At 45.7% G+C, this 25,635-nt stretch overlaps 1 long non-coding RNA gene and 1 pseudogene across 1 annotated transcript, besides 2 other annotated features; both read left to right on the top strand.

The window, feature by feature from the left end:
• On the top strand, positions 1,265-8,500 carry LOC107984553 (uncharacterized). The gene is made up of 3 exons (XR_001749956.2): positions 1,265-2,004; positions 7,475-7,663; positions 8,318-8,500. It is a non-coding gene; the product is annotated as an uncharacterized LOC107984553 (long non-coding RNA).
• Positions 7,994-8,392, top strand: PPIAP28 (peptidylprolyl isomerase A pseudogene 28; annotated as a pseudogene).
• Positions 11,810-13,009: an enhancer, noted in NCBI's record as "P300/CBP strongly-dependent group 1 enhancer chr13:20748586-20749785 (GRCh37/hg19 assembly coordinates)". NCBI's record gives its function as "activates an origin of replication core promoter dependent on BRD2, BRD4, P300/CBP, MED14 and CDK7 cofactors, with strong dependence on P300/CBP, by STARR-seq in HCT116 cells {active_cell/tissue: HCT116}" and the evidence as "EXISTENCE:reporter gene assay evidence [ECO:0000049][PMID:35650434]".
• Positions 12,165-12,708: an enhancer, noted in NCBI's record as "H3K4me1 hESC enhancer chr13:20748887-20749430 (GRCh37/hg19 assembly coordinates)". NCBI's record gives its function as "activates a minimal SCP1, AML or CMV promoter by ChIP-STARR-seq in naive H9 embryonic stem cells {active_cell/tissue: H9 hESC(naive)}" and the evidence as "EXISTENCE:reporter gene assay evidence [ECO:0000049][PMID:30033119]".

The following is a 25,635-nucleotide window of genomic DNA, read 5'->3' as shown; positions in this document are numbered from 1 at the left end:
TGGTTTTAATAGAACAGCAAATTTTAATTTCATCTATCACTTTTTATATAAATACATTAATGTTTTATATTTCATAACACCAATGGGTAAGTTGCCAGAGTGTCTGACCCCATTCTGCCCCAGTTACAGAAAAGCTTCTGTCACCAGAAAGTTTGGTGGGGAAGGAAGGGAGGAAGATGATTTCTACCTAACCCCGTGCCCACCTCTACCAGGTTTTTGAGGCATATCAGTCTATGGACAATGTGGTGTTTGGTCTGGAAACGTACCTTGGTGAATGCTGAGTTGGCTGGACATGACCCGTTTAGCTCCTGGATGAATCCCAGAAGTGGACCTTCAAAATGTTACTCATAGCATGACCTTGGCTCACTGCAACCTCTGCCTCCCAGGCTCAAGCGATCCTCCCACCTCAGCGTCCCAAGTAGCTGGGACCACTGGAGTGTGCCACCACACTCCACTAATTTTTTCATTTTTTGTAGAAACGAGGTCCCACTATATTGCCCAGTCTGGTCTCGAACTCCTGGGCTGAAGGGATCCCCCTGCCTCAGTCTCCTAAAGTGCAAGGATTACAGGCATGGGCCACCGCACCTGGCCTGAAACTGCTTTTTATTCCTCAGTGCCCACTTCCATGGGAAATAAGCCTGCCAGGTCAGCCTGTCCCCATGGGAGTGACTGCCTGCTACCCCCACAGGCTTGCCCGGCCCTCGTGAGCCTCTCCCAGAGACACCACCAACAGTTCTGTTCTTTCATGGTACAAGATTTCCATCCAAGGATTTCAAAGCATTTCACACATCAATAATTAGAAGTATTTTCATAGAGGACCATACACTTTTAAAATGGATTTCAAAGAACAAAAACCAGTCAACTATCACCCAGGTAATAGAAAATGGGAAATGGTTTCTACCTGACTTCCAAAATGCTCTGCACATAGACTGTGAAAATAGGATTTTTTAAGCTGGGTGCAGAGGCTTATACCTATAATCCCAACACTTTGGGAGGCTGAGACGAGAGGATCACTTGAGCCCAGGAGTTCAAAACCAGCCTGGGCAATATAGGGAGACATTGTTTCTATAAAAAATAAAAATGTTAGCCAGGCAGGCGTGGTAACATGTGCCTGTAGTCTCAGCTACTCAGGAGGCTGAGGTGGGAAGATTGCTTGAACCTGGGAGGTCCATGCTGCAGTGAGCTGAGATTGTGCCACTGCACTCCAGCCTAGGCGACAGCAAGATCCTGTCCCAAACAACAACAACATCAAAAAACACAGAACTTTTAAAATAAGTACATTCACTTCTACAAGCTATGTAGATTATTACTCTCAAGCTATTAAAAGACCAAGCCAAAATAATTATGGGCTACTCTCGACCACTTGTAGGAATGGATAGAGAGGTCTGGTCACATGCCTGGAAATTAGAGCTTGAGCTCTGAAAATGATAATCCTGACTATATCTCAAAGCATCAGTCTGCACTTTGTATGGAGCAAGAAAAAGCCTTGTGGAAGCGGCCTCCCACCCAGCCGAGCCCTCGGCGTGGACAAGCTCTGCTTTTTATGAGCAGTGGGTGCAGCCTCGCTGCTCCCTCCTCCTGTCAAAAGACAGTCACAGCTGGGGTGAGCAGATCGGGCCCACTTGGGAGGCCCCAAGGAATATGCTGCAGGGGTCGGGCCTGAGCCACCCCCACGGGTTGGTCTTTGACAACTAGAGAGCAGCTGAGAGGTGGGTAAAAGCTCACTCACTTACCCTGACCTCAGTGTCCTCATCTTAAAATGGGTTTCCTGAATCTTTCCCCGGCTTAGTGGCAATGAAATAAGATAATTTATGTAAACGTTCTCCACATAGTAAAGCACTAAGTAACATATGACTGTCATCTGTTTTCCACTAGACAGATCCCAACCTGGAAGAGTGACAGATGGTATTTCAGATACAAGTGACTCAAGCAAAGCTTGATAAACTGGGGGCTGGAAAAAAATGCACATTTACACAAAGCCTGGAGTAACTGCAGCACAGGCAGGTGAGTCTAGCCACATAAGCCGGGAGAGGAATGGCTGGGGGCAAATATAGCAGCAAAAAAGGATAAGGTGGTGACAGCTATGCGACTCTGTAATTAAAGAAAGGTCAACAGAGTAACGAAGAAGGCCATTGACTCATCTGGTCAGGGTCTCTACACTTTCCATACATCTCACCAAATGCTTTTCCCATATCACCTCATTTGCACCTCGCAGCAGTGCTCTGAAGTCCTAGGCTGTTAGTGTTATTCTTGCTGAGGGCAACAGGAAGGCACTGCTCAGAGAGGTAAGAGATCCTGCTCAGAGGCCAACAGCAGCTGGTCCTACCACACAGAGGATGTGGACCGCACTTCTACAATTCTCTAGTGCATTTGATTCCTGAAGCCGGTAACAAGCACAGTAGGAACACCCCAGCTGCCCCAGTGTTCACAGGGTCCAGGGGCAACCCCAACTTGGTGAGACGCTGTTCCATTTCTGCACATGGCTAATGATTCGTTTTCCCAGGCAATATTTACTGACTGCCACCAACTGTTAGGGGCTGGGGGCATAGCTGTGAACAGAACAAAACATCAGGCTTCACATTGAAGGAGGCCGACTCTCAACAGATCCCTGTAGGTGGTACCTGCTGCAGGTAATTTAAATGGAGGAAAATAAGACGTCATGAGGGAAACGGGAAATTGCAATGTAACTAACATAGGGTGGTCAGGAGATCCGGAGGATACAGGGCAGCAAACCACACGAGTCTCTTAGGGAAGCATCCCAGTGAGACGGAAAGGCCAGGATGCCAAAGAGTCAGGGCGAGAAAGGGGGAGATGGGGCCAAGGAGGGCGTGGCTGGGACAGATGGCGCAGGCCACGCAGGCCGCTGTAAGGATTCATGGTTTTAAGACGGAATTCTAGCATCTGCTCTCCAGCATTTGTTCTGCCCTCTGATGGACCCAAAGTCAGTCTATTTTCCACTTGAGAAAGCTTCGAATAGCTGAGAACAACAGGTCCAAGTTCAGACTTTATCCTCCTGCTCCACAGCCCCACATTCCTTCACACATTCAGCATTAAGCAACTACTGCATACCACCTTACTAGATACAGGCTGCCTTCAACTTCCCTAAGAAAACGCATGCTCTGACAGTCAAGCAGCAGTAACTGTGCTGGGAGACTCCTCCTCAAGGCAGGAACAATATTCCAGTCCACAGTGTCCTCCTAGAAGGCAGATGGCCCCCTGTCCTCAGTGCAGCCCCCGACATGGCTGAGCCATGGAACCACTGTTCTGGACATCACGTTATTGCTCAAGTGACTTAGCTTTTTAACAGCCCTGTCACTTTTGCTCATTTCAAAATGAAAAGGCAACCAATGTGATTTTTGTAATTATAGAATATATAAATACATTTTCACTTAAATAATACAGGAGTATACGAAGTCAAAAGTGAAAGTCTCATTTCACTCCCCTGCTTGGAAGTTTCAGTGTTAACATCTGGATTATATCCTTCCAGACTTTTCCCCTGTGCAATTGAATATACTCATACTTATATACATAGACACACAACACATACGTGACCATGTTGGTTTGCATTTCTTACATCATTTTTTCTATGATTGTTTCCCATTTAGTAATATGTCTTAGAAATCCTTCTAGGTCTGGCCAGGTGTGGTGGCTCACGCCTGTAATCCCAGCATTTTGGGAGGCCGAGGTGGATGGATCACTTGAGGTTAGGGGTTTGAGACCAGCCTGGCCAACATGGTGAAACCCCTTCTCTACTAAAAAAATACAAAAGTTAGCCAGGCATGGTGGTGCATGCCTGTGGTCCCAGCTACTTGGGAGACTGAGGCAGGAGAATCTCTTGAATCCAGGACGTGGAGGTTGCAGTCAGCCAAGACTGCACCATTGCACTCCAGCCTGAGCAACAGCGGGAGACTCCATCTCAAAAAAACACAACAAACAAAAAAACCCACAAACAAAAACAAAAAGGAAATCCTTTCATGTCACCATGTATAGAAATTTGTTCTTTTAACAATGTACAATGTCCCATCGAATGTTACTGAACCATCTCCTTGTTAAGTGATAGTAGCATTGTCTCCCATTTTTCACAAAGTCTACCCTTCCCCCCATTTTTCTTTCTTTTTTTTTGAGATGGAGTCTTGCTCTGTGGCCCAGGTGCCGCCCCCCCACCCCCATTTTTCTAACCTAAATTCAGGGCTTTGCATTGTCCCTGTTACATTTCATCTTGCTGGTTTGGGCTCATCCTTCTGGTCCATCCAGATCTTTTTGAACCCTGTCTTCAGTTTATTAGCAATTCATTCCAACTTTATGTCATCTGTCAGTTTCATGAGCGTGCTTTCTCTATGGTCACTTAAGCCAATAAAAATGTTGAATAAGGAATGCCACCAACAATTTCCTGCTAGCTTAACATCAGTTCACTTACCAACATGATTCAAGTTTGGAGTTTTATGGATAAAGTACTTAGCCACATCTCATTCACAAGTTTCCATTTCATAGTAGGGATATTATGGAAGGCTGTCAAGTGTTTCTGCAAAAATACCTAAGGGTATCCATTATTTGATTAGCCATTTCAAAAACACATTTACGGAGATCTTCATCTGGGCAGAGCATTATTCCAGGCCTCTGAAGAACCAAAGATGATTTTGAAAGGAGGTCACAGTGCAGACAGCAGGTGTGTATATAAGGTGGCTACTTTACAAAACAGGATATGGCAAGCTGGACATGACAGGCACAGCAAAGTCTCTGAACAGAGTTCGGGGCATGAAATTGTTTCTTTTGGGGGTCTTCAGGAACAATTTCATGAAAGCTAAATCATGAAAGATAGCAGGCTTTTGCCAGGAAAAAAAAAAACAAGACTAGTGATTAGTTTGGCGTTTTCGGTTTCTTTGAGAAGCGAAATAACTTATCAAGGACTCTTTTTGCCACTTGATGTTATAATTGGTTGATAGGTCTCTCAGAAGCCCTTTGTGCAAACTAGAACCTGCAGGGATGTGCAAAGCCTCTCTCTGCTGCCATCTGCTGTCTTACAAGAGGTAACTGCAAGAGGTTGAATCCTCCAATGCCCTGGGGATTCCCATTGCAGGGCAGGGGCAGCAGCCTGTGTTAATAACCACCCGAACAGCCACATGTACCCCTCCACAAAAGTGTCACTGTCTCCATTGCTCTGGAGTTTGTATTCCCAATTTGTAATCTTTGTTAGGGCACTCATAAAAAATTAAAAACAAAAATTCACACAAACATACACTACTTTCATTCATAAACAACACAATAACCAAACTGAGAACAATATCAGCAAACATCTATAATCTCGTGGTTGTAGTTAGTAGCTTTTTACAGGTCCTTATTTAGGTTTTTCTCAGGTTTCTCTAACTATTCTGATCCTTGGATTTTGAAATTTTACTATCTAGGACTATAAATGCTATGACGTCGGATTATTTCTTGACACTCATCCACGAGGGGAAAATCTCTTATTTAGAAAAATGTTTAAATCAACATCTAATGTAAACATGGAAGCTCTCTAAAGATTCAGCATCATTTTATTTTACTTCTTTTATATTCTTACGAAGGGAAATCACCTAACATATTTCACTCAAAATTTTCAGGATTTTTACTAATTGTGACATCTACTTTTCAAAAATAAGAAGTAGGTTTGGGAAATTTTGAGTCACAATAAATCAGGAAAGTATGATTTTTTTTTCACATTTGCCCTGCCTTTTCCAAAGGAGAGAGATCTCAATGTGAACAGATATTTGTACATCCATGTTCATTGCAGCTCTGTTCACAACAGCCAAGAGGTGGAAGGAGCCCAAGTGCCCATCAGCGAATGGACAGAGAAGCAAAATGTAGTCTATGCATGCAATGGAATGTTATTCAGCCTTAAAAAGGAAGGAATTTCTGACACATGCTACAACATGGATGAACCTTGAGGACATCATGCTAAGTTAAATAAGCCAGACACAAAGGACAAATATGTATAATTCCACTTAGATACTCACAGCAGTCCAATTCATAGAGGAAGAGAATGGAGTGGTTGCCAGGGGCTGGGAGGAGAGGGGATTGGGAGTTGTCTAATGAGTACAGCGTTTCTATTTGGGAAGTTGGAAATGTTCCCGGAGACGCTTGGTGGTAATGGTTGCACAGCAGTGTGAATGTACTTAATGCCACTGAACTGTGCACCTAAAAATAGTTAAGATGGTAAATTTTATGTTATGTGTGTGTGCACATGTGCATTTACTACAATTTTTAATGAAAAAAGTGAAAAAAGATCTTTTAACACAAGAGACAATGGATGGGCTGCATTGAAAGACATTGATTGCGATCAAGCATGTTAAGATGCGTTCTGAACTCAGACACACATCAAACCCTGTTAATGTCTCTATCCTATTTTATTAGCACTATAATGCACTGAAATAAACTCCTAAGCCCATGCACATTAACCATAAACATTAAACTAAGAGGACAGGTCTGAGCACACAGCTGGGCCTTGCCCTTCCTTGTGAAAAACAATCACATTCAAGTCTGGTCAAGTTATTTAGGGGAGAAGGACCAGAAAATTATTCTGCCTCAAATTCAAATGGCATGCTAGAACTGCCCTTTCCTAATCTTAAAAAAAAATTTATAGTACTCTCTATAGCCCATACTAGGTAGAATATTATGCATTAAAGTTATTCTCCAGAAAAATTAGCTGGGTGTGGTGGAACACACCTGTAGTCCTAGCTACTCAGGAGGCTGAGATGGGAGCATCACCTGAGCGGGGGGAGGTCAAGGCTGCAGTGACTGGTGATCGCACCACTGGACTCCAGTGTGGGAGACAGAGTGAGACTCTGTCTCAAGAAAAAAAAAATGTATTCTCAGGAATGGTAATAAAAGGAAGAGGCACCCATGTCAAGCTTTGAAAATCTCATATTTCTCTAAATCTAAATCTCTGTGTCGTTAAGCCCCTTGGCAACTTATTTCCCAAAGCTGGTATGAATTATAATTCATTTAGTAATCTAGTCTAGGAGTTTTCATCCGTATTCCAAACAGAAGTAGAAGTTTTAATAATACTCATCATCTATGTCCAGAAGCACATAAGAACTTGGAAGAATTTGTTCTCCCCAGCCAGCAAACTTCTAGTTGTAGAAATGGTAGGAAAAATTCAAAGTCACAAAGAGAGAATATTTTCATAGGATTTTCATCCTCCAGAGCCTTTGACAACCTTTGGGTTCCCAAAAACATACTCCAATGCTCTAGGAAGCAGCAAGCAAAATCAGTCCTTATGGGAAACACCTTGTTGCTGTTACTGTTTTAGTGATTTCTTCTTGGCTTACTCTGCTCATTCTGAATGGGAAAATAGCTATGTTTATGGGCCTGGGGGAGTGAAGATGTGGTCACAAAGGAGAAGGAAAGGCTAGAAATTACAAATGTCCAGCACTTTGACTCTATGTGTTAGTTATGTGTGGTCAGAATTTTGTAAAATGACTTAATTTTGTTCATCCAGAGAATAGCACAGGAAAGGCCAGAAGGTTTATGAGAAAACTCAGGTGAATTCAAGGATGGCCTAACTGAAAGAACACCACATAATTCCAGACTCACGAACTCAGTCCAGCGAGGCTCAAGGGGAGTTATAAAGTCCTCTGGAACTCGGTTCTGGGCTCTCAGACCTTGCAGGAGAGGACAGCAAAGGAAGGTAAGATAGCTCACATTGACGAGAGTGAGCGAAGGGCACACTCTTGAAAGGGAGAGAAGTCTCACTTACTGGGGGTGGAGCAAGGAAGGCCCCTAAGCAGAAAGAGAGAGGACAGAGTTTGCTTGCTGGATAATGAGAAGCCCTGGAGTGTTTCGCAGCTGGAAATCCACACAGTCAGAGCTGCGCTCCAGAAACATAACCCTGAGGCAGTACAGTAGCATGTAGCCAAATAAATTTGGTGGCAGAAATGGAAAAATACATATTAAATATCTTAATAACAATCATGGGCTTTGTAGCTGCCAATGCCCCCAGGATCCCCTGCCACCAGCCATGGTCAATTCTGCCATGTTTTATGACATTGCTGAGCCCTTAAGCCACATCTCTTCTGAGCTAGCTGCAGACAAAGTTCCAAACATAGCAGGAAACATTCATGCTGTGAGGTCTGGAGAGAATGGATTTGGCCATAAGGGCTCCTGCTTTCACAGAATTATTCCAGGGCTTATGTGCCAGGGTGGTGACTTCACACGCCATCATGACACTGGCAGCAAGTCCATCTATGGGCAGAAATTTGATGGTGAGAACTTCATCCTGAAGCATTCAGGTCCTGGCATCTTGTGCATGGCAAATGCTGGACCCGACACAAATGGTTCCCAGGTTTTCATCTGTACTGCCAAAACTGAGTGGTGGGCCAGCAGCCAGGTGGTCTTTGCAAGGTGCAAGGAGGCATGAATATCATGGAAGCCATGGAGCGCTTTGGGTCCAGGAAGAGCAAGACCAGCAAGATCACCATTGCCAAATGTGGACAACTCCAATAAATTTGATTTGTGTTTCTCTTAATCACCAGAGCATTCCTTCTGTAGCTCAGGAGAGCACACTTCCACCCATTTGTTCATAATATCCTATAATTTTCATGCTCTTGCTGAAGTTTTTGGAGCTTCCTTTTTTTAATTCTCCTCCACTTCTAGCCAGATTGAAGAGTTAAGTTTATGATTATGAAACAAAAACTAAATACAAAAAAAATCATGACTTGTCAATAGATAAGTAAAAAAGGGTGAGAGAGAGAGAGGAAAGACTCCAAGGTGACTATATTTTTATATCTGTGCAGTGGGAAATAAAAACAAGTAAGTCTCCAGACCGGGCACCATGGCTCATGCCTGTAATCTCAGTACTTTGGGAGGCTGAGGTGGGGGAATCACTCGAGCCTAGGAATTTGAGACCAGCCTGGGCAATATAGCGAAACTCCAGCTCTACAAAAATGGGTCCAGAAATCAGTCAGACATGATGTCTCATGCCTGTAGTCCCAGCTACTCAGGAGGCTGAGGTGGGAGGATCACCTGAGCCCAGGGAGATTGAGATTGAGGATGCAGTGAGCCATGATTGCGCCACTGCACTCCAGCCTGGGTGGCAGAGTGAAACTCTCTAAAAAAAAAAAAATAAGCCCCAGGGCAACGCATCTGTGTCATGAGGGGAGACAATAGTCTGATTTAAAACTTGCTGAGTAGGAGGCGGGAGGCACTTGCAAGGTGGGAAAATGAAGCAGGCTAGAAAGGCTTGTCTAAAACTCATGCCAAACGCAGGCTAGAAATATTCGTGTGGGCTATGTCCTTGCATCCCTGATGGCTGAGGTCACCAGAGGAGGCAAAGTACTCCAGGGAAGGAGCAGGGGGAGAGCCGGCATGGAAGACCTTCCAGGGTGCCAGGGTCGAGGAGCAGGGAGGGCCTCAAAGGAGCAGAGAGGAGGATTCGCCCATGAGGAGTCAGGGAAAGGCCACAGATGTAGACCTGGGCAGAACTGCATGCCTGCGTGCCAGCAACTTGGTGGAAGATGCAGTGAGCACTGGCAGGGAGCAGGGACGATCCAGGCGAGGGAGGTCTCGGATAAGGGGGCCTCATGAAGCCAGCTACAGTGGCTCCGTCCTGCAGGGAAGCTCGCAGGGAGGCCTTATGTGCCAGGGTGGTCACTCATGTGCCCATCCTAGCTGGAGCGCAGGGCGCGGCCGTGTCGTCAGGCCCGGGCTGGCAGGGCCGACCAGGCTCAAAGGCGCAGCCCCACGGAAGGGCAGGCGCTGCTGGGCAGCGAGGCCTGGGCACCGGTCACCGGGCCTTGGGGTGTTTCGGACAGAGCTTGGCAGCTTCTGCCGCACAAGGGATGAAATCAAAAGTGCAGCTGAGGAGGAGGCACAGCCGCCCTGTTAGGACCTGGGATCACCAGGGAGGTGCCGTAGAATCGGGGCGCGAGTGAGGGAGGCGGCGCGGTGGCCGCGGGGCGAAAAGAAACGGGGAGCACCAGAAGAGAGGGAGGACTGGGGAGGCGCGGCGCACGGGTGGCAGGCGGCGGTCCCTCCTCACCGCCCGGCTGTGCTCGGCGCCAGGGTCCCGTCTGCGCCCCTGCGGGAGGCGGCGCGGCGCCCACTGTTCTCTGGGCCGGGCCGGGGCTCTCGCTCTCCCCCGGCTCTTCCAGCCTGGGACTTTGCCGCCGGCACCGTCCTCCACGGCTCCAAGATGTGTCTCTGCTTCCGGCACGTGCCCGCGAGAGGGGGCCACATTGGGGCGTGTCTCCAGACAGGGGGTCTCCGAGGGGAGGGCGGCAACCAGGTGGCAAGTAAGACGGAGGCTCCCGAGACCTCCCGTCTCAGCCAGGCTTCCCCATGGGGCGCGTGCCCGCCCGCTCAGCGTCTTTCCTGAACCCTGAGCAGCAGTTTCTCAAAGGACTGGAAACATGACAAGACCTTCCCAGATCCCTGTCAGGTGCTTGAACCAGACAAAAGCCAGGTAACTGAACAATGGTCCGGCCTTGTGGCCTGAAAACAGCTGCTCTGAGAGCAGTAGCTGTCTACCCCAGAGCGCATCCGCCATGGAGTGATTGTTTTGGGCCAGGGTCTCTCGCTCAGTCTCCATCAGAGTTCAGATCGTTTGACGACATCTTCATTTTTTACTTTGCCGCCAAAAGCATGGTGGTTTTTGTACCTACACACATCTCTGTGTGGCCAAACACCATATTATTCACTGTCACATTAGGCCTGGACCTACTTCGTGCAACCTCAGCTTATCCAGTAGACAGGGCCAGCGGAGAGGGACCTGGGGGCCAGGATAAGGCAGGCCTTTGCAACAACACACGATGCTTTTCGGGGTCCTTCCTGAAGATAATGATGACCCCAGCAGCTGGAAAACAGGAAGCTCCTCTTCTCAGCTTCATTTGTTCCATGAGTGAGGCCCTCGGACTGGGGCGGATGGGGCTGGCTTTTCCTGAACATCCAAGGAGCAAAGTAGGTGAGGCAGTTTCGCACCAGCATTCCCTTTCCAGAATGTCACCTGCGTGGGCCCTCTCTCCTCCTTCTCCTCCTGCAAACGCTCTCCTCTTCCGTGGCTAGGAAGCCTCCCTGTGTACCAGGTCTCAGGTAGGCTGAAGCAATTCACAGTCTCTTGAGCTGACTTCACGTGGGAGAAACTATTCACAGCAGAATGAGAGTCACTTGAACAGTAACTTACTTCAGTTTCTTTCACAACGATTAGGATTCTTAAAAGATCCCAAAACATGTTTCGTCTTTAAAACAAACAAAAACCATAGAAAACCCTTATGCCTATTTCTGCAGACGAGAGCCCCACCTCCAGAGGATAGGAGGCAGCCCTGGAGAACTCGCTAACAGTGGTGATTTTGGCTCTGAGCCCTTTTTCAAATTGATAGTGTGATGTAATCAGAGGGTGTGTTTAAAGTCTGGAGCAGATAAAAGGAGACACAGATATCCTGGCACACCGTCATTAACTGTTGCTGCCCAGATTGGAAAGGCAGACCCCTTCAGGAAGATTGTACAGCTCATTGGCAAGCAGTGATTCGAGAAACGTATCATAGCCATCCATCATAATATCTAAGATCTGTAAACTGTTTTATAGCTTTCATCTGATACCTGCACCTCTATAGTTAATTCTGACAGCCACCCTTGGAGTTTGAAGGTGTTCTTTCAGGTTCACAGATAAAGAAACTGAGTTCAAAGAGATTAACTGACTTCCCCCAAGGTAATACAACCTAGATTAATAACCAAAATTTGCATAACTTATAAGTATTCAGATGAATTTTAGAAGATCCCAAGAAGAGAAAACATTTGGTGGAGTCATTGGCATATGGTAGGCTTCCGTAGATTTCATTGTCCTTTGGCTTTGCAAATGTTTTCATCTGCCAAACGCTGTTAAAACAGAGGGCCCCTACCCAGGGCGAACAAAGTATGCTTCAGAGGACCAGACAGCTTGTCCAAAGTCAGAGAGCTAACAGAGAGCTAATTGGGTCAGGATTTGAAAGACCTTAGCTTTGTGTGACCTTCAATTTTATCATTCAGCTTGAATATGTGCCCCAGAAAACCTTTATGTAATTCCCTAATATTTCAGTAACCAGCATGCAACATACGAGAAGCACATTCTTTGTTTTTAGAATGGTATCTGGCTGATGACTTTCACAACAGCTCACATGAGAGGGAAGTATTTTAGCAATCGGACTGAAGGAAAATCCAAAAACTCCACCATTGCAGGGTCAACAGTGCACGTGTTTGAATTCTGAAAGACGTAAGCCAAGGCAAATAGAAGGAAATGATCTTCCACTAATCCCGGCATTTACTTCCTCCTCTCTGGAGGGGACGGCCATGCACACAGAGCCCTGTGCTCTGAGTTCTCATGAAAGGGACACAGCTGGGCTCACTCAGCGTCACCTCGCCCCTGGGGTGTGTCCTGGTTTCAGATCTCGGGCTGGAGTGATTCACGTGTGGCAGGGAGGCCATCATTAATGAAAATGCGAGGGCGTCGCACGAGTGTTGATGACTCAGCAGGCCTTTCTACTTCTGTATGAGTCAGTGCCCATCACAGCCAAGCCTGGGGCACAACAGGTTTTCTTAAAAGAGCATGGGGGCCTCATCTTCAACAACCAATTAGGAAGCAGAAAAGTCCTCAGTGAGGAAGGAATAATGACATGTTGGAGCTAAGATGATGGTGCTCAAGCCCGAGAGACCCAGCCACCTTCCAGACGCCAGGCCCGCATGGATGAGGTGCGTCACTCCAGCTGAGGCCAGGGGGCAGCGGGGGCACCGAGTACAAGGTGGACCAGACCGCTGGGGCCAGGCCACGTGGAGCTTGAAGCCAGAAACAGCCCAGGCCATGAGGCCACGAGGAATTCCCTGGAGTAGGAGGAAAGCATGCCACCGTGCAGGTGCGAGGGTGGGGGACAGCCCTCCATTCCACCCTCACCCAAGCAGTCAGAGAGTGTGAAATCCAGGAGTCACCAAACCTAAGTTTTGGAAAGAGATGTCCTGTCCCCTTCCCATTCCACTTAAGCAAACAACACCTCCCAAGAACTTTCTGAGCCCCTCTTAAATGCTGGAGCACAAAAGCAAATATGGCAATTTTTACTGCTGGCAAAAGTGTACATTCAGATAAAAAAGAGACAGAAAAACAACCATTGTGCAATGTAAGGTGTGCCCCGGGAGGGGGTATCCCACCCCTGTTCTCATATTTCTATGAGGATGCCCCCTGGTCGAATTCCACCTCAGTGTGCCCTCTCTTTCTCTCTCTCATTCACTCCATCGTTTCCTCCTCTCTAGGGGAGTAGAGACATAATTCATCCATGAGTCTGGGGGATGGAATTGGCCCTTTGAGGGCCAATGCCCTCTGCCCTCCTCTCCAGTGTGGCACTGCCTGAAGGCCTGGGGGTGGTGGGGTGTCCTGGTTCACCCTTGGCTGCAGCCGAAGCTGCCTGGGGCAGGTTGTGCCACCAAGAAAGAGGCCAGCAGCTGTGAGCAGGTAGTTGATTCTGTCTAGTTTAGAAAGGGGTATCAAGTCACTTTATCCTGGCTTTTGAAGCTGACATTTTTATCTGCCTGTCCTGTCTTATTTCTTGTTTCATTCTGAACTGTGGAGGGGAGCTCGGGGGTGCCCCCAACCAAACCCCAACATAAACTCCATGAACACACAGGACATCTCGGTGCCCATCAGTGCCAGGTGTCTGTTGAATCTGCATCTGCAGAATCAAGAAAGGAGTGGTTTCCTCTGCCTCAGGTGGCGGGGAAAGCTCCTTGGTGGAGAGGACATTTGAAGGAAGCCTTGAGGGACACTGGGTGAGGACGAGTAGAATTCGCTGAGCAGGCAGCAGGGCAGGCTGAGGATGCCAGGCGGGAGCCAGGGTGCAAGTGAGTGTTGAGACTCGCGGCAGCCATGGGGGAGGAAGCCCAGAAGCAACAGAAGTTTCCCAGCCCACCACCCACGCACATGGGCCCTGAAATGAAGAGAGAATTAACTCATCTTCCCAGAAAGTGCTAGGACCATACAGTACTCCACTGCAACTATACCATTTTACATTTCCACTAACAGTACACAAAGCCTCCAGTTTCTCTACATCCTCATCAGCACTTGTTATTTTTGGTTTATTTGATAATAGCCATCTTGATGGGTGTAAGGTGGGCTGTCATAGCGGTTTTGATTTGCATTTCCCAAAGGATTAGTGATATTGGGCATTTCTTCATGTGCCTATGAGTCATTTGTCTATCTTTGGAGAAATGTCTACTGAAGTCTTTTGCCCACTTTTGAATCAGCTTGTTTTCTGTTGATACTGTTATTGTTCAGTTTTAGCAGTTCGCTATATATTCCAGATATTAATTCCTTATCAGATATGTGATTTGCAAATATTTTCTCCCATTCTGTGGATTGCTTTCTCACTCTCTTTAGTGTCCTTTGAAGCATAAAAGTTTTTGATTTTCATAAAATCCATTTGTCTATTTTTTCTTTTATTGCCTGTGGCTTTGGTGCCATAACCAGGAAATCATTTGCCAAATCCAAGTTTGTGAAGTTTTGCCCTTTGTTTTCTTCCACAAGTTGAATTATTTTGGGTCTAACATTGAGGTTTTTTACTCATTTTGAGTTTATTTTTGTATATGGTGGAAGATTAGGGTCCAACTTGATTGTTTTGCATGTGGATATCCAGCTTCCCCCACTATATGCTGAAAAACTGTCCTTTCCTCATTGAATGGTCTTGGCACCCTTGTGGAAGATGACCATACATGTAAGTGTTTATTTCTGGCCTCTGTGTTGTATTCCATTGGTCTATATGTCTGTCTTTATGCCAGTACTAAACTGTGTTGATTACTATCACTTTGTAGTATGTTTTGAAATCAGGAAGAGTGAGTCTTTAATTTTGTTCCTCCTTTTCAAGACTGTTTTGGCTATTTGGAGTCTCTTGGGATTCCACTTGAATTATAAAATGGATTTTTCACCCATTATCTTTTGCTTTTGGCCTTAGCTAGTGTTATGTCCCTTGTTTGGGCCTTCCTTTTCCACCTCAAATCATTCAAAATGCAGCTCAATTCCCACCTCCAATATTTCCCTGACTATCCCCACCATATTGATCTCCCTCCCCTGCGCCGCTGTTCACCTATCTCCTGCACCACCCATTGGAGACAGCATCCCACCAACTCTTCTCCCCTGTCCTTACCCTTCAAGCCTCAGCTGAAATGTCACTCATCCTAAAGCAGGGCTCTCTGTTGGGCTTTCTTGTAACATCTTTTCTATAAAGAACTCACCGTGATTAGTAATTAATTTACTTATAAGTTAATTCTTACACACACAGATTCTAAGACACACAATTCTTTCCCATTCTAACACCTGTGAAATAGAGAGCCGTGCTTTACAATTGGCGACATCCAACAATGACAGTCAGGCTTTTACTTCAGTGGTACATACATGGTGATATGTCTTATGATCAACCGTACTTTAGATGCAGTGAAACACAGTACATGTTTTCTTGTGCATTTACCTGTTTAATGCTCATCTTGTTGATTGTAAGTTGAGAGAGAATAGACCCCCAACTCAGCTCACCATCACACCCCAGCGCCTTTGGCATAGTTCATGTGCTTGTCAGCCATTTGATGGGTTGATGAATTATAAGTTCATCAATCATATTAATGAACTTATCAACATCAACTCATATTGATGGATTATAAGCTACTAAACACATTACGCTTTCCCAGGAGCCCCATAATTCCTAGAACAGTGCTACCTGCACTCAGATGCTTACCCAGTGCATATTTAAGCTAGATAACATCTATCACTCAGCTGCTCTGTGCTCTCTGGTAGAAATAAAAGGATTAATAATGCCTCATTCTTTTAGAGGAAGAAAGCCAAGTAAGTACTGTCGGAGAACCCAGTGGTTCCTGCTTTCTTTTCCTTGGCAAACAATAGGCCTGGCCTTTGTAAACTGAAATCTACACACTTCAAATATTTTATTTTGCTTTTGTGGCATCACACAGTGCCTTGGGGACATTACACAGGGGCCATATTAGAAAGTGATGTCAACTTTTTTTCAAGAGGGTTGGTGATCCTATCTGTTAAGAAAATGACACATTTCTACACTCTTAATAGCTGCTAACCATTTATAAACACATTGTCCCTACATATCAAATAAAACAAATCTTGGATAAGCAGGAAATTAAATTTGTCCTCTTGTGAGGGGACACTGAGTTCCTGGTCTGGGCTTGTCAAGGATGAAAACATGGAGGAGGCGCTTGGGCCAGATGAGCACAAGTTCTTCAGCACCTGCCCTGTGCTGACAAAGGGGCCCGCAGGGAGGCAAAAAGAAGCAAGAAGAGGCTTCATAGGAACCAGGTTGTTTCATTTCTGTTTGTTTATTCTCTCCCAAACTCAAAAGAGGAGGCCTATTTTGCGGTTGATTCTTGCACCATTTGAGAAATTCACTCGTTATGTAAATGTTTCTATTCGTAGTAAGTAGCTTTTGCAAAGAAGGGGAAATAATGACATTAGTAGTGAAAGATTTTTTCCCTAATCTCTTGAGGATCAAAACCTGTGTAAATTACAATATAAATGTCACAGCAATGGCAAACTGCTATACAAGTTTCTAAGTAATAATAACGGGTGCCATTTTTTGAGCACCAACTATGCACCAGCACTGGTTTAGGCTACTTCATACACTGGGTCATGTTGATTCATCTTCGTAACAATCCTACGTAATCTCCATGTACATAAGCTCATGAAACGGGGGCAGTGTGGGCAAGCCACTTACCCCAGGGCAGAGAGCTAATAAGGGCAGACCAGTGATGGAAACTCAGACTTTCTCTCAATTGTCCTGAAGAAATAGGTGTATTCTACTTATCTAGCAACGGCTGCTGGTGGCAGGGAGTCTGCTGGCAGGAACTGGCTGGTCCTGCACCATCTCTGCTCATTCCTCCCATCACAAGGGGTAAGGGTGGGGAGGAAGGAAGAGTAAAAAGGACACTGTGGTGGTGGGGGCTGGTTACTGATGGAGAAGAGCCATCAGCGATGGGGACTGAGGGGAGGGAAAGAAGAAATGATACCCAGTCACTCGATTAATGACAGAGGTACGTTCTGAGAATTGTGTCATTAGCCAATTTTGTTATTGTGGGAACATCATAGGGTGTACCCACACAAACCAATGGAATAGCCTACTGCACACCTAAGCTGTGTGGTGTAGCCTATCGCTCCGAGGCCACAAACCTGTACAGCATGTGACTGTACTGATTACTGAAGGCAACTGTAACATAATGGTAAGAATTTGCATATCTAAACATACCAAAGGTATGGTAAAAATATGGCATTATAATCTTATGGTACCACCGTTGGATATGCAGTTCATCATTGACAGAAATGTCTTTATGACTGCATTAGGCAAAAGTGAAATTAAAAGGAAAGGATAGGAAAGACAAGTGAGAAGAAAATGTAGCCAGTAGAAGCCAAGAAAGAAAAGAGCAAAGGAGGAATCAAAAAGGTAATCCATGGCTAGGCATGGTGCCTCACGCCTGTAATCCCAGCACTTTGGGAGGCCAAGGCAGGAGGATCACTTGAGGCCAGAATTCAAGACCAGCCTGGCCAACATGCCCATTTCTATGAAAAATTTAACAATTAGCCAGGTGTGGTGGTGCACGCCTGTGGTCACAGCTACTTGAGAGGCTGGGGCAGGAGGATCACTTGAGCCTCGGAGGTTGAGACTGCAGTGAGCTGTGTTGGCACCATTGCACTCCAGCCTGCGTGGAAAAAAAAAAAAAAAGTAATCCATGAACAAATCCTGTTCAACCAACACCAAAAGCAGCAAAGCCTCCCAGGCTCAGTTCCTGGGTTCTGTGGCACCATCTCTCCGTCTGTCCTCCCTGTAGGACACAGGTATTTTAAGGAGCTGGAGAAGGGAGCCCAGGGCACATCTGTTCCTCCTCAGTCTTCTTCAGTCCCAGCCTCCCAAGAGTTCGCAGGGCTAGTCGCCTCACAGTGTCGCCCACCAGCTGACTCCAAGACGCACCCTTCCCTGCTGCACTTTACATGGATGGCTCGCTTAACAAATTTCCAGCATCCACCAGGTCCTCCAAAGGGTTTTATCTAACACTTCTAACATCCAGCCTTAATTTAATCTGAACTCTTCTTCCCTTCCAGGAAGTTACTTCCCATCACCTCATAGATGCATTTCCTGGCCACCTTCTCAGAGACACACTCCACAGACATCCCACCCACTACCTTTGGAAACCACCACATCCTGAAGCCACTTCTTGACAACTCTAGTTGGGTATATGTAATGGGTTTAAGCAAAAGCTGTTCTCCAGGAACTTCTGCCCACAGGTCATGGTTGTCCTTTTGGTGGACATACAAAGCCAGCCTAAACTTTTTGACACACACAAATATATACACACACATACATACACATATGACTGTGTTTACACACACACACACACAGCTGGTTAAGAGCAAGGGCTTGGGGCCGCAGATTCATATTAACATCCTGACCCTGCCCCATTCTAGCTGTGTGGCCTTCGGCAAGTTAATTAACCTTCCTGAGCCTCCGTTTCTTCATATGACCCTCACTGGGCTGCTGTGAGGATTAAGTGAGCTAATATATGTAAGTGTCTTGGCCCAGTGTCTGGCATGTAACCAGTACTCATTAAATGGACAGGGGTCTTCTCTGAGTCCTTTCTCTTAGGGAAATATTCCCACTCCCTTCAACCCCTCTTTATAGTTTGTGGTTTTTCAGTCCTCTCTGTATCCTTTTAAATGGGCCAGTCACCTTTTAAATGGGTGATGTTCCATTGTTTAAATAGATTGGATTTTTCACTGGACTCTGTCCAAAACTAAACACACTCCTGGAAACGTGGCTGGCACAGCAACAGTGGAGAGCCACCTCCTCGCTGTGGACACAACCGCCAGCGGTCAATCCGCTTCCCTCAACACCGTCATGTCCACACAGGGACCTGGGCTGCTGGATTCCTAATCAGTGACACTGAGCTTTTATATAACATCAAAGAGGGATTTGTGCTTATACTTCTTAAAAGGCATGTTTTTGTGGTTTGACTGTCCTCCTAGCCTGACACAGTCTGAGCCTCCTCAGGCGGCCTCAGGGGTTGGGATAGAGTGGAGAATTCAGGCAAGAATGCCAACCCTAGCTCCAGGCCTGGGACCCACAGGCCTGGGGAAAAGAGTGGTTGCCCCGTCTTGAGACAGCCGAAAACTGTGTCCCCAGGATTGTTGGTTTCATAAAAGCAAGTAGCTAGGGAGGCCACATTTACAGGGGATCACAGAACACTTGGGTAGGGGCTTGCTGTAGGTGTCATCAGGGAAGTGGGGGACGGCAGGAGGGATGTGGCCCAGTACGCAGATGAAGACAGGTGATCATCCGCTGGGCCACACGTGGCAGGGATATGGGCAGAGTGAGCTTGGCTGGCCCCAGGCTCCAAAGCTGCCCAGCCCCCGCTGAAGGTGAGGCCTCAGCTGGTGGGAATGTCACCTTCCAGGTGACTGGCTGGCTCCAAAGGCCTTTGCATGATCTCCAGGAGTTTGGAGGGGAGAGGCCACATTCCAAATCCAGCTTGAAAAGTGCTCTGTATCACCCTCAGCACTGAGGGGGCCAGAGTCTAGGAGGAAGGAGGCACAGGGTTGGGGGGCAGCCCTGACCTGGTGGCCGCACCTGCCAGGTCCCGAGAGACAACCCATCTCACACACATTCAAAAACACACACCAGGGAGCACATGGCTAAACAAATCGCACTAAACGCCAGGAAGGCAGAGGGGCTGGAATGCAAAACACCCCCTGAAAAATAAATCTCTGCTGGGGCACATTTCGAAGTTTTGCCTTAATCGTTCAGGTCGCCCTCCTGTTCTTCTCACTTTACAACTTCAGCCTGAGACACATTGACCACCTTCCACCAAAGTAGACCATGCTCTTGAATAAGTCACATATCCTTTCTCTACTTGGTTTCTTTAATTTTTGTTTATTTTCTTTTTGTAAGACAGGGTCTCACTCTGTCACCTAGGCTGGAGTGCAGTGGCAGGATCATAGGTCACTGCAGCCTCAAAATCCTAGGCTCAAAGCAATCCTCCCACCTCAGCCTCCCCAGCAGCTGGGGCTATGGCACATGTTACTGCCTTCAGCTAACTTTTTTTATTTTTTGTAGAGACAGGGTCTTGCTTTGTTGTCCAGGCTGGTCTCAAACTCCTGGCCTCAAGCAATCCTCCTGCCTCCACCTCTCGAAGCGCTGGGATTACAGGCATGCACCACCACACTCTACCTGTTTTCTTAATTTTTAAAATGAGGGTAATAGTGTTAACACTTCCCCGGAAGATTACTTCCCCAGAAGAAATGATAAAGCACCACCTTTTCCCTCCCAATTTTCATGAAAATAAACTCCTTCAGCTTGTGAACACCACCAAATTTAAATTCTGTCATTTGAGATCCTCAGGCAAGGCAAATTCTCAGACCCTGTGAGGCTCACCAGGAGGCGAGGAGCTCTTCTTGTACCTAGGGGTGGTGAGGAGTGGATCATCTTGCCCAGTCGGGCTGGGCGCAGGCATGGGGATCCTCCAGGACCGTGGCCCATTCCCTCAGAACCACAGGCTGACGACTTCACATCACTGATGTTAGCCCTTTCTAGATGTTACCACGACTTTTACTGATTTATGGATGACTAAGTTCTTTTCCTAGTCAACCTCAGAAGTCTCACAGTGCTACACAGAAAGAACTAGGTTGATACCTGCAAGGTCAGAGCCCATACTCCCATAAGCTATTTACCAGCAGTGACACATGTCTGCAAACCATTTCACCTCCCCATCTCTCAACGTATTCCTCTGTGAAATGGGAAATGATCCCTGCCCTTCCTTCCTCACACGTTTGTTTTGAAGCTCAAATAAGATCAAGCACTTTGAAAACGTTAAAACACCAAGCAGTGGTGAAGGGTTATATTATTATTATCAGAAACAAGTCTGTTCTCAGCCAAGGCTGTCTTTATTTCTGAAGTACGTGAAATACCAGGACAAGGCTTGTTCTACCTGATGATAACTGACAATAACTGAGCAGACAAGGACTCTGACACTCTTGCTTGTCTATGGTTTATCAGTGGTTCTCCTACCTGCTTTAGGAATCACACTGACCCTCTTCCACATGAGGAGATCTAATTTTCTAATTCGGCTGCTGCCCAAGTGCTTTTTTGGTTTTTGTTTTTGTTTTTGTTTTTGTTTTTTTCGGAGAAGGTCTCGTTCTGGCTGGAGTACAGTGGCACGATCTCGGCTCACTGCAACCTCCACCTCCCAGGCTCAAGCGATCCTCTCACCTCAGCTTCCTGAGTAGCTGGGACTACAGACATGCGCCACCATGCCCGGCTAATTTTTGTATTTTTTGTAGACTCGGGGTTTTTCCATGTTGCCCAGGCTGGTCTTAAACTCCTGAGCTCAAGCAGTCTCCTAAATTGCTGGGATTACAGGTGTGAGCCACCACGCCCAGTCTCAAGTGCTCTTTCTCACCCTCCACCCTGCTGTCCTCATTCGTGTCAATGCACAGTTCCTGAGCCCCAGCACCATGGCTACTCTTTCTCCATAGCACCCTGCTCCTCCTGCCTTCTCTGGGCAGTTTTTCCAGTTTGGTCTTCCCAGCCCTTCTGACTAGCCAAGCAAGGATTTATGGATACTTAGAAAACATACATCAAAAGAAAGGAAGAACAGCATCAAAGGGACTTTCCAGCAGATTAACCTGAAATGTCTGGATACAACACACAACTTTCACCAAAGAGGATTTAGTTAATACGCTCTAAATGCTCCTATCAGTTGGATATAATCATTTGTGCAAGAATAATGCAATTCTTAAAGTATTCATGAAATTGTATGCTGCCGTAACATGATTAATCAACTCTGATTTATTTACCTTACAGTCATTATGTTTTCAAAGCAAACTCCCACGGGAGATGGAATCTCAAATTACTGGATTTAACTCTCTGCAAGAAAGAGAAAATATTCTTTATAATGCATACCACATTGCTAAATAAATGTTCTCATCCTAGCATTCTGGTTTGAAATTTTTTGCAACTTAAAATTTCTATGAAAACCCTATCTCAGTGTAATCCTCTATTCAGCCTAGTAGTTCTAGAAAGTCTGTACTTCTGACTACTTGCACTGATATCTCTGCCACCCTCCATTCTGACTACCCAATTTTCTGGAATTAAATAAATTATCCGACGAGAGTTGGATACAGGTTGTATTAACTGCACAGCCCAGAAAATTTCCACAGGGGACATTTCCAAGGCCTGCAGAGCCCATATGAGACATGCAAATCTCATTTTTCCACATGCGAGATAAGAAATAAACACTGCTTGTTTATATTTTTCTCCAAGTTGCAATCACTTCATAGAAATTATCCCATGGATTTTATTTTATTTTATTTATTTTTATTTTATTTTATTTTAGAGACAGGGCCTTGCTCTGTCACTCAGGCTGGAGTGGAGGGGCATGGCTCACTGCAGCCTCGACCTCCCAGGCTCAAGCAATCCTTCCACTTCAGCCTCCTGAGTAGCTGGGACTAAAGGCACGAGCCACCTTGCCAGGTTAATTTTTTAATATTTTTGTGGAGACTGGATGGGGGGTTGGGGTAGGGGAGCATCTCACTGTATTGCCCAGGCTAGTCTCGAACTCCTGGGCTCAAGCAATCCTCCTGCCTTGGCCTCTAAAAGTGCTGGAATTACAGGCATGATCCACCACACCCGCTAACTGTTTGTTAATTAATACTTTGTGATTCAGAAACAACAGATTGTAAAATCCTCCTGTGGACAAAAATTGGCACAGAGCTGGGCGCAATGAATTCTCTGAGTAGAGAAAGTGGAACCTTCCCATCCGTCAACACCCAGCCCAAGGCCTTGTATGAGGAGAAGTTCAATAAATAAAAGTTGGATTGCTGGAATTCGTTTTTTTTTTTTTTTTTTTTTTTTTTTTTGAGATGGAGTTTTGCTCTTGTTGCCCAGGCTGGAGCGCAGTGGCACGATCTCAGCTCACTGCAACCTCCACCTCCCAGGTTCAAGCAATTCTCCTGCCTCTGCCTCCCGAGTAGCTGGGATTACAGGTGCGCACCACCCCACCATGCCCGGCTAATTTTTTGTATTTTTAGTAGAAACAGAGTTTCATCATGTTGGCCAAGCTGGTCTCAAACTCCCGACCTCGGGTGATCCACCCGCCTCGGCCTCCTAAAGTGCTGGGATTACAGGCATGAGCTACCACACCCAGCTGGATTCATTTTTTTAAGTGCTATTAGAGCTATTTATAGCCCGCAGAGTAACTGAAATACTATACATTGTCAATCAGCATAGTAAGTAAGGAATAGTGACGGTCTATACAAGTAATTTTGTTTTTGTTTTTTTGTTTTTGTTTTGAGATGGAGTCTTGCTCTGTCACCCAGGCTGGAGTACAGTGGTGCAGTCTCAGCTCACTGCAACCTCCGCTTCCCCGGTTCAAGTGATTCTCCTGCCTCAGCCTCCTGAGTAGTTGGGATTACAGGCAGGTGCCGCCACACACGGCTAATTTTTGTATTTTTAGTAGCAACGGGGTTTCACCACGTTGGCCAGGCTGGTATCAAGCTCCCGACCTCATGTGATCCGCCCGCCTCGGCCTCCCAAAGTGCTGGGATTACAGGCGTGAGCCACCACCGTGCCTGGCTTATACAAGTAATTGTAAACGAAAAGGAAAAAATGGAGATACAGTTTTCTCGTGCATCTTAAACTTTGGTGCTTAAAAGCACCATTAAATTCTGCTTTCACATGAACACACACAAGATTACCACGTTTGCTCTGGGCTGCTGCGTATTGGAAGGACATACACATTCAACAAATATTTGTTGAACTTCCATTCTGTACACAAAGCACAAAGAAAGATTCGTTCACAGTCCGTGTGGGTACTGGAAAGCAGTTCCAGCCCTGCCTGCCAGGGGGCACCCCAGGCAAGCACATCTCAGTGGCTGCTAGAAAGTGAATTGAGGCTGAGTCTCTCCACACCCAAGTGTTAGGCGTTCTAGGCTCAGAAAGAGACAATGACAATGCGGGCAATTCTCTCTTCACTGTGTCCTCTTCTTTGCTAGAAATGTTATTAGAATATGGAAATGTGACATTCAGCACTAATCAGTTTGACATATGAATATATCTATACACATATTTCTCCCTGAAATTGGCCTAAATACTCTTTCTTGGAACCAAATGAGAAGCAAACAACCTTTACAACTAAACATTAAACCATAAGATGAACATCTTAGTTGTCTACCTAGAAATTGTACAGTATGACAAGTGTAAAGAAACTGCTAGCTTCTTAGTTGTGCTGGTCTTTACACAATACCACTTTAAAAATTGTTTTATGGTAGTAAAATATACATAACCTTTAATTTACCATTTAACCTTTCTTAATGTGTACAGTTCTGTGGCATTAAGTACATTCACATTGTTATGCAACCATTACCATCATCTGCTTCCAAAACTATTTCTATCTTCCCAAACTAAAACTCCGTACCTATGAAACTCTATCTTCCCGTTTCCCACTGCCCCAGCTGCTGGTAACCACACTTCTACTTTCCGTCTCTATGATTTTGACTGCTGTAGGTACCTCATGTAAATGGAATCATACAGTATTTGTGACTTTTGTGACTGGCTTATTTCATTTAGCATAATGTACTCAAGGTTCGTCCACGTTGTAGCATGTGATGGGGCTCTCCCTTTTTAAGGCTGAATAATATTCCACTGTAGGTATGCAATACATTTTGTTTATCCATTCATCCATTGATGGACACCTTTTGGCTATAGTAAATAATGCTTGTATGAACATATATGTAAAATATTTGTTCGAATTACATAATATAATTTAAAATCTATATTTTAATAAAAATTTTAAAATTATTACAATATTATATTTCCATTTTTATCCTCAGAATACCAATAATAGCATTTGGCAAACAGACTACAAATATTAACAATTCCTAGTGCTTTTGTGATCAACAAAAAAAAAAAAACTATTCCTGTGCTTCTCAGAGAAAATGTTTTAAATGAGAAAAATATTCAAGTATTTTAAGACCTTCAAAGGTAGCATTTTTCAATTAAAAATTAAAAACTAAGTCTCCGTAACTACTACCTACTCCATACATACACCGCAAAGTTCCCAAAGGGAGAAGATATTTTAGATGCGCCTTTAGGAGCTTAGTTTTTCCTCCTTGGGATAACTTTAAATTCAGATCTCAGCAGAACAAACGCATTTTTCAGGGCAAGCCAACTGCTAATCCGAGTAGATCTAAACGCTAACGAAGGCAGCCGACGGAAGCTGCTCCATGAAGACACGAAAACTATCAGACTTGCATTTTGCCACATTCCTGGAATAAACTTATTACTCATAAAGGTGATTTTGAAGCCATTTCAGCTTGTGGAATGATCACCGAAATGCAGTCCACCGATATTTGTTAATATCCCAGGCTGGTCAAACCCCACTCCAGACCTTGGGGGACGGGGAGGGGACCCGCGGCCTCTCTAGGCTGTGCCCAGACAGCAGACAAGGACGCGATGCCGCCCTCGGTCCGCGGCCTTCCGCGGTAGGCGTCCCTCTCAAGCGTGGTAAAACCACCCCGAAGGGAACAGAAAACGTTAAAATCTTCGTTGGGCGCCAGCAGGCAGGTTAGGCCTCGCCCTGGCATCTCGTCTCCAG

This window comes from Homo sapiens, chromosome 13, assembly GCF_000001405.40.
Source record: "Homo sapiens chromosome 13, GRCh38.p14 Primary Assembly".
Taxonomy (NCBI): Eukaryota; Metazoa; Chordata; class Mammalia; order Primates; family Hominidae; genus Homo; species Homo sapiens.
Note: the sequence above shows the minus strand (reverse complement) of the source record. Positions and strands in the feature narration are given on the sequence as shown.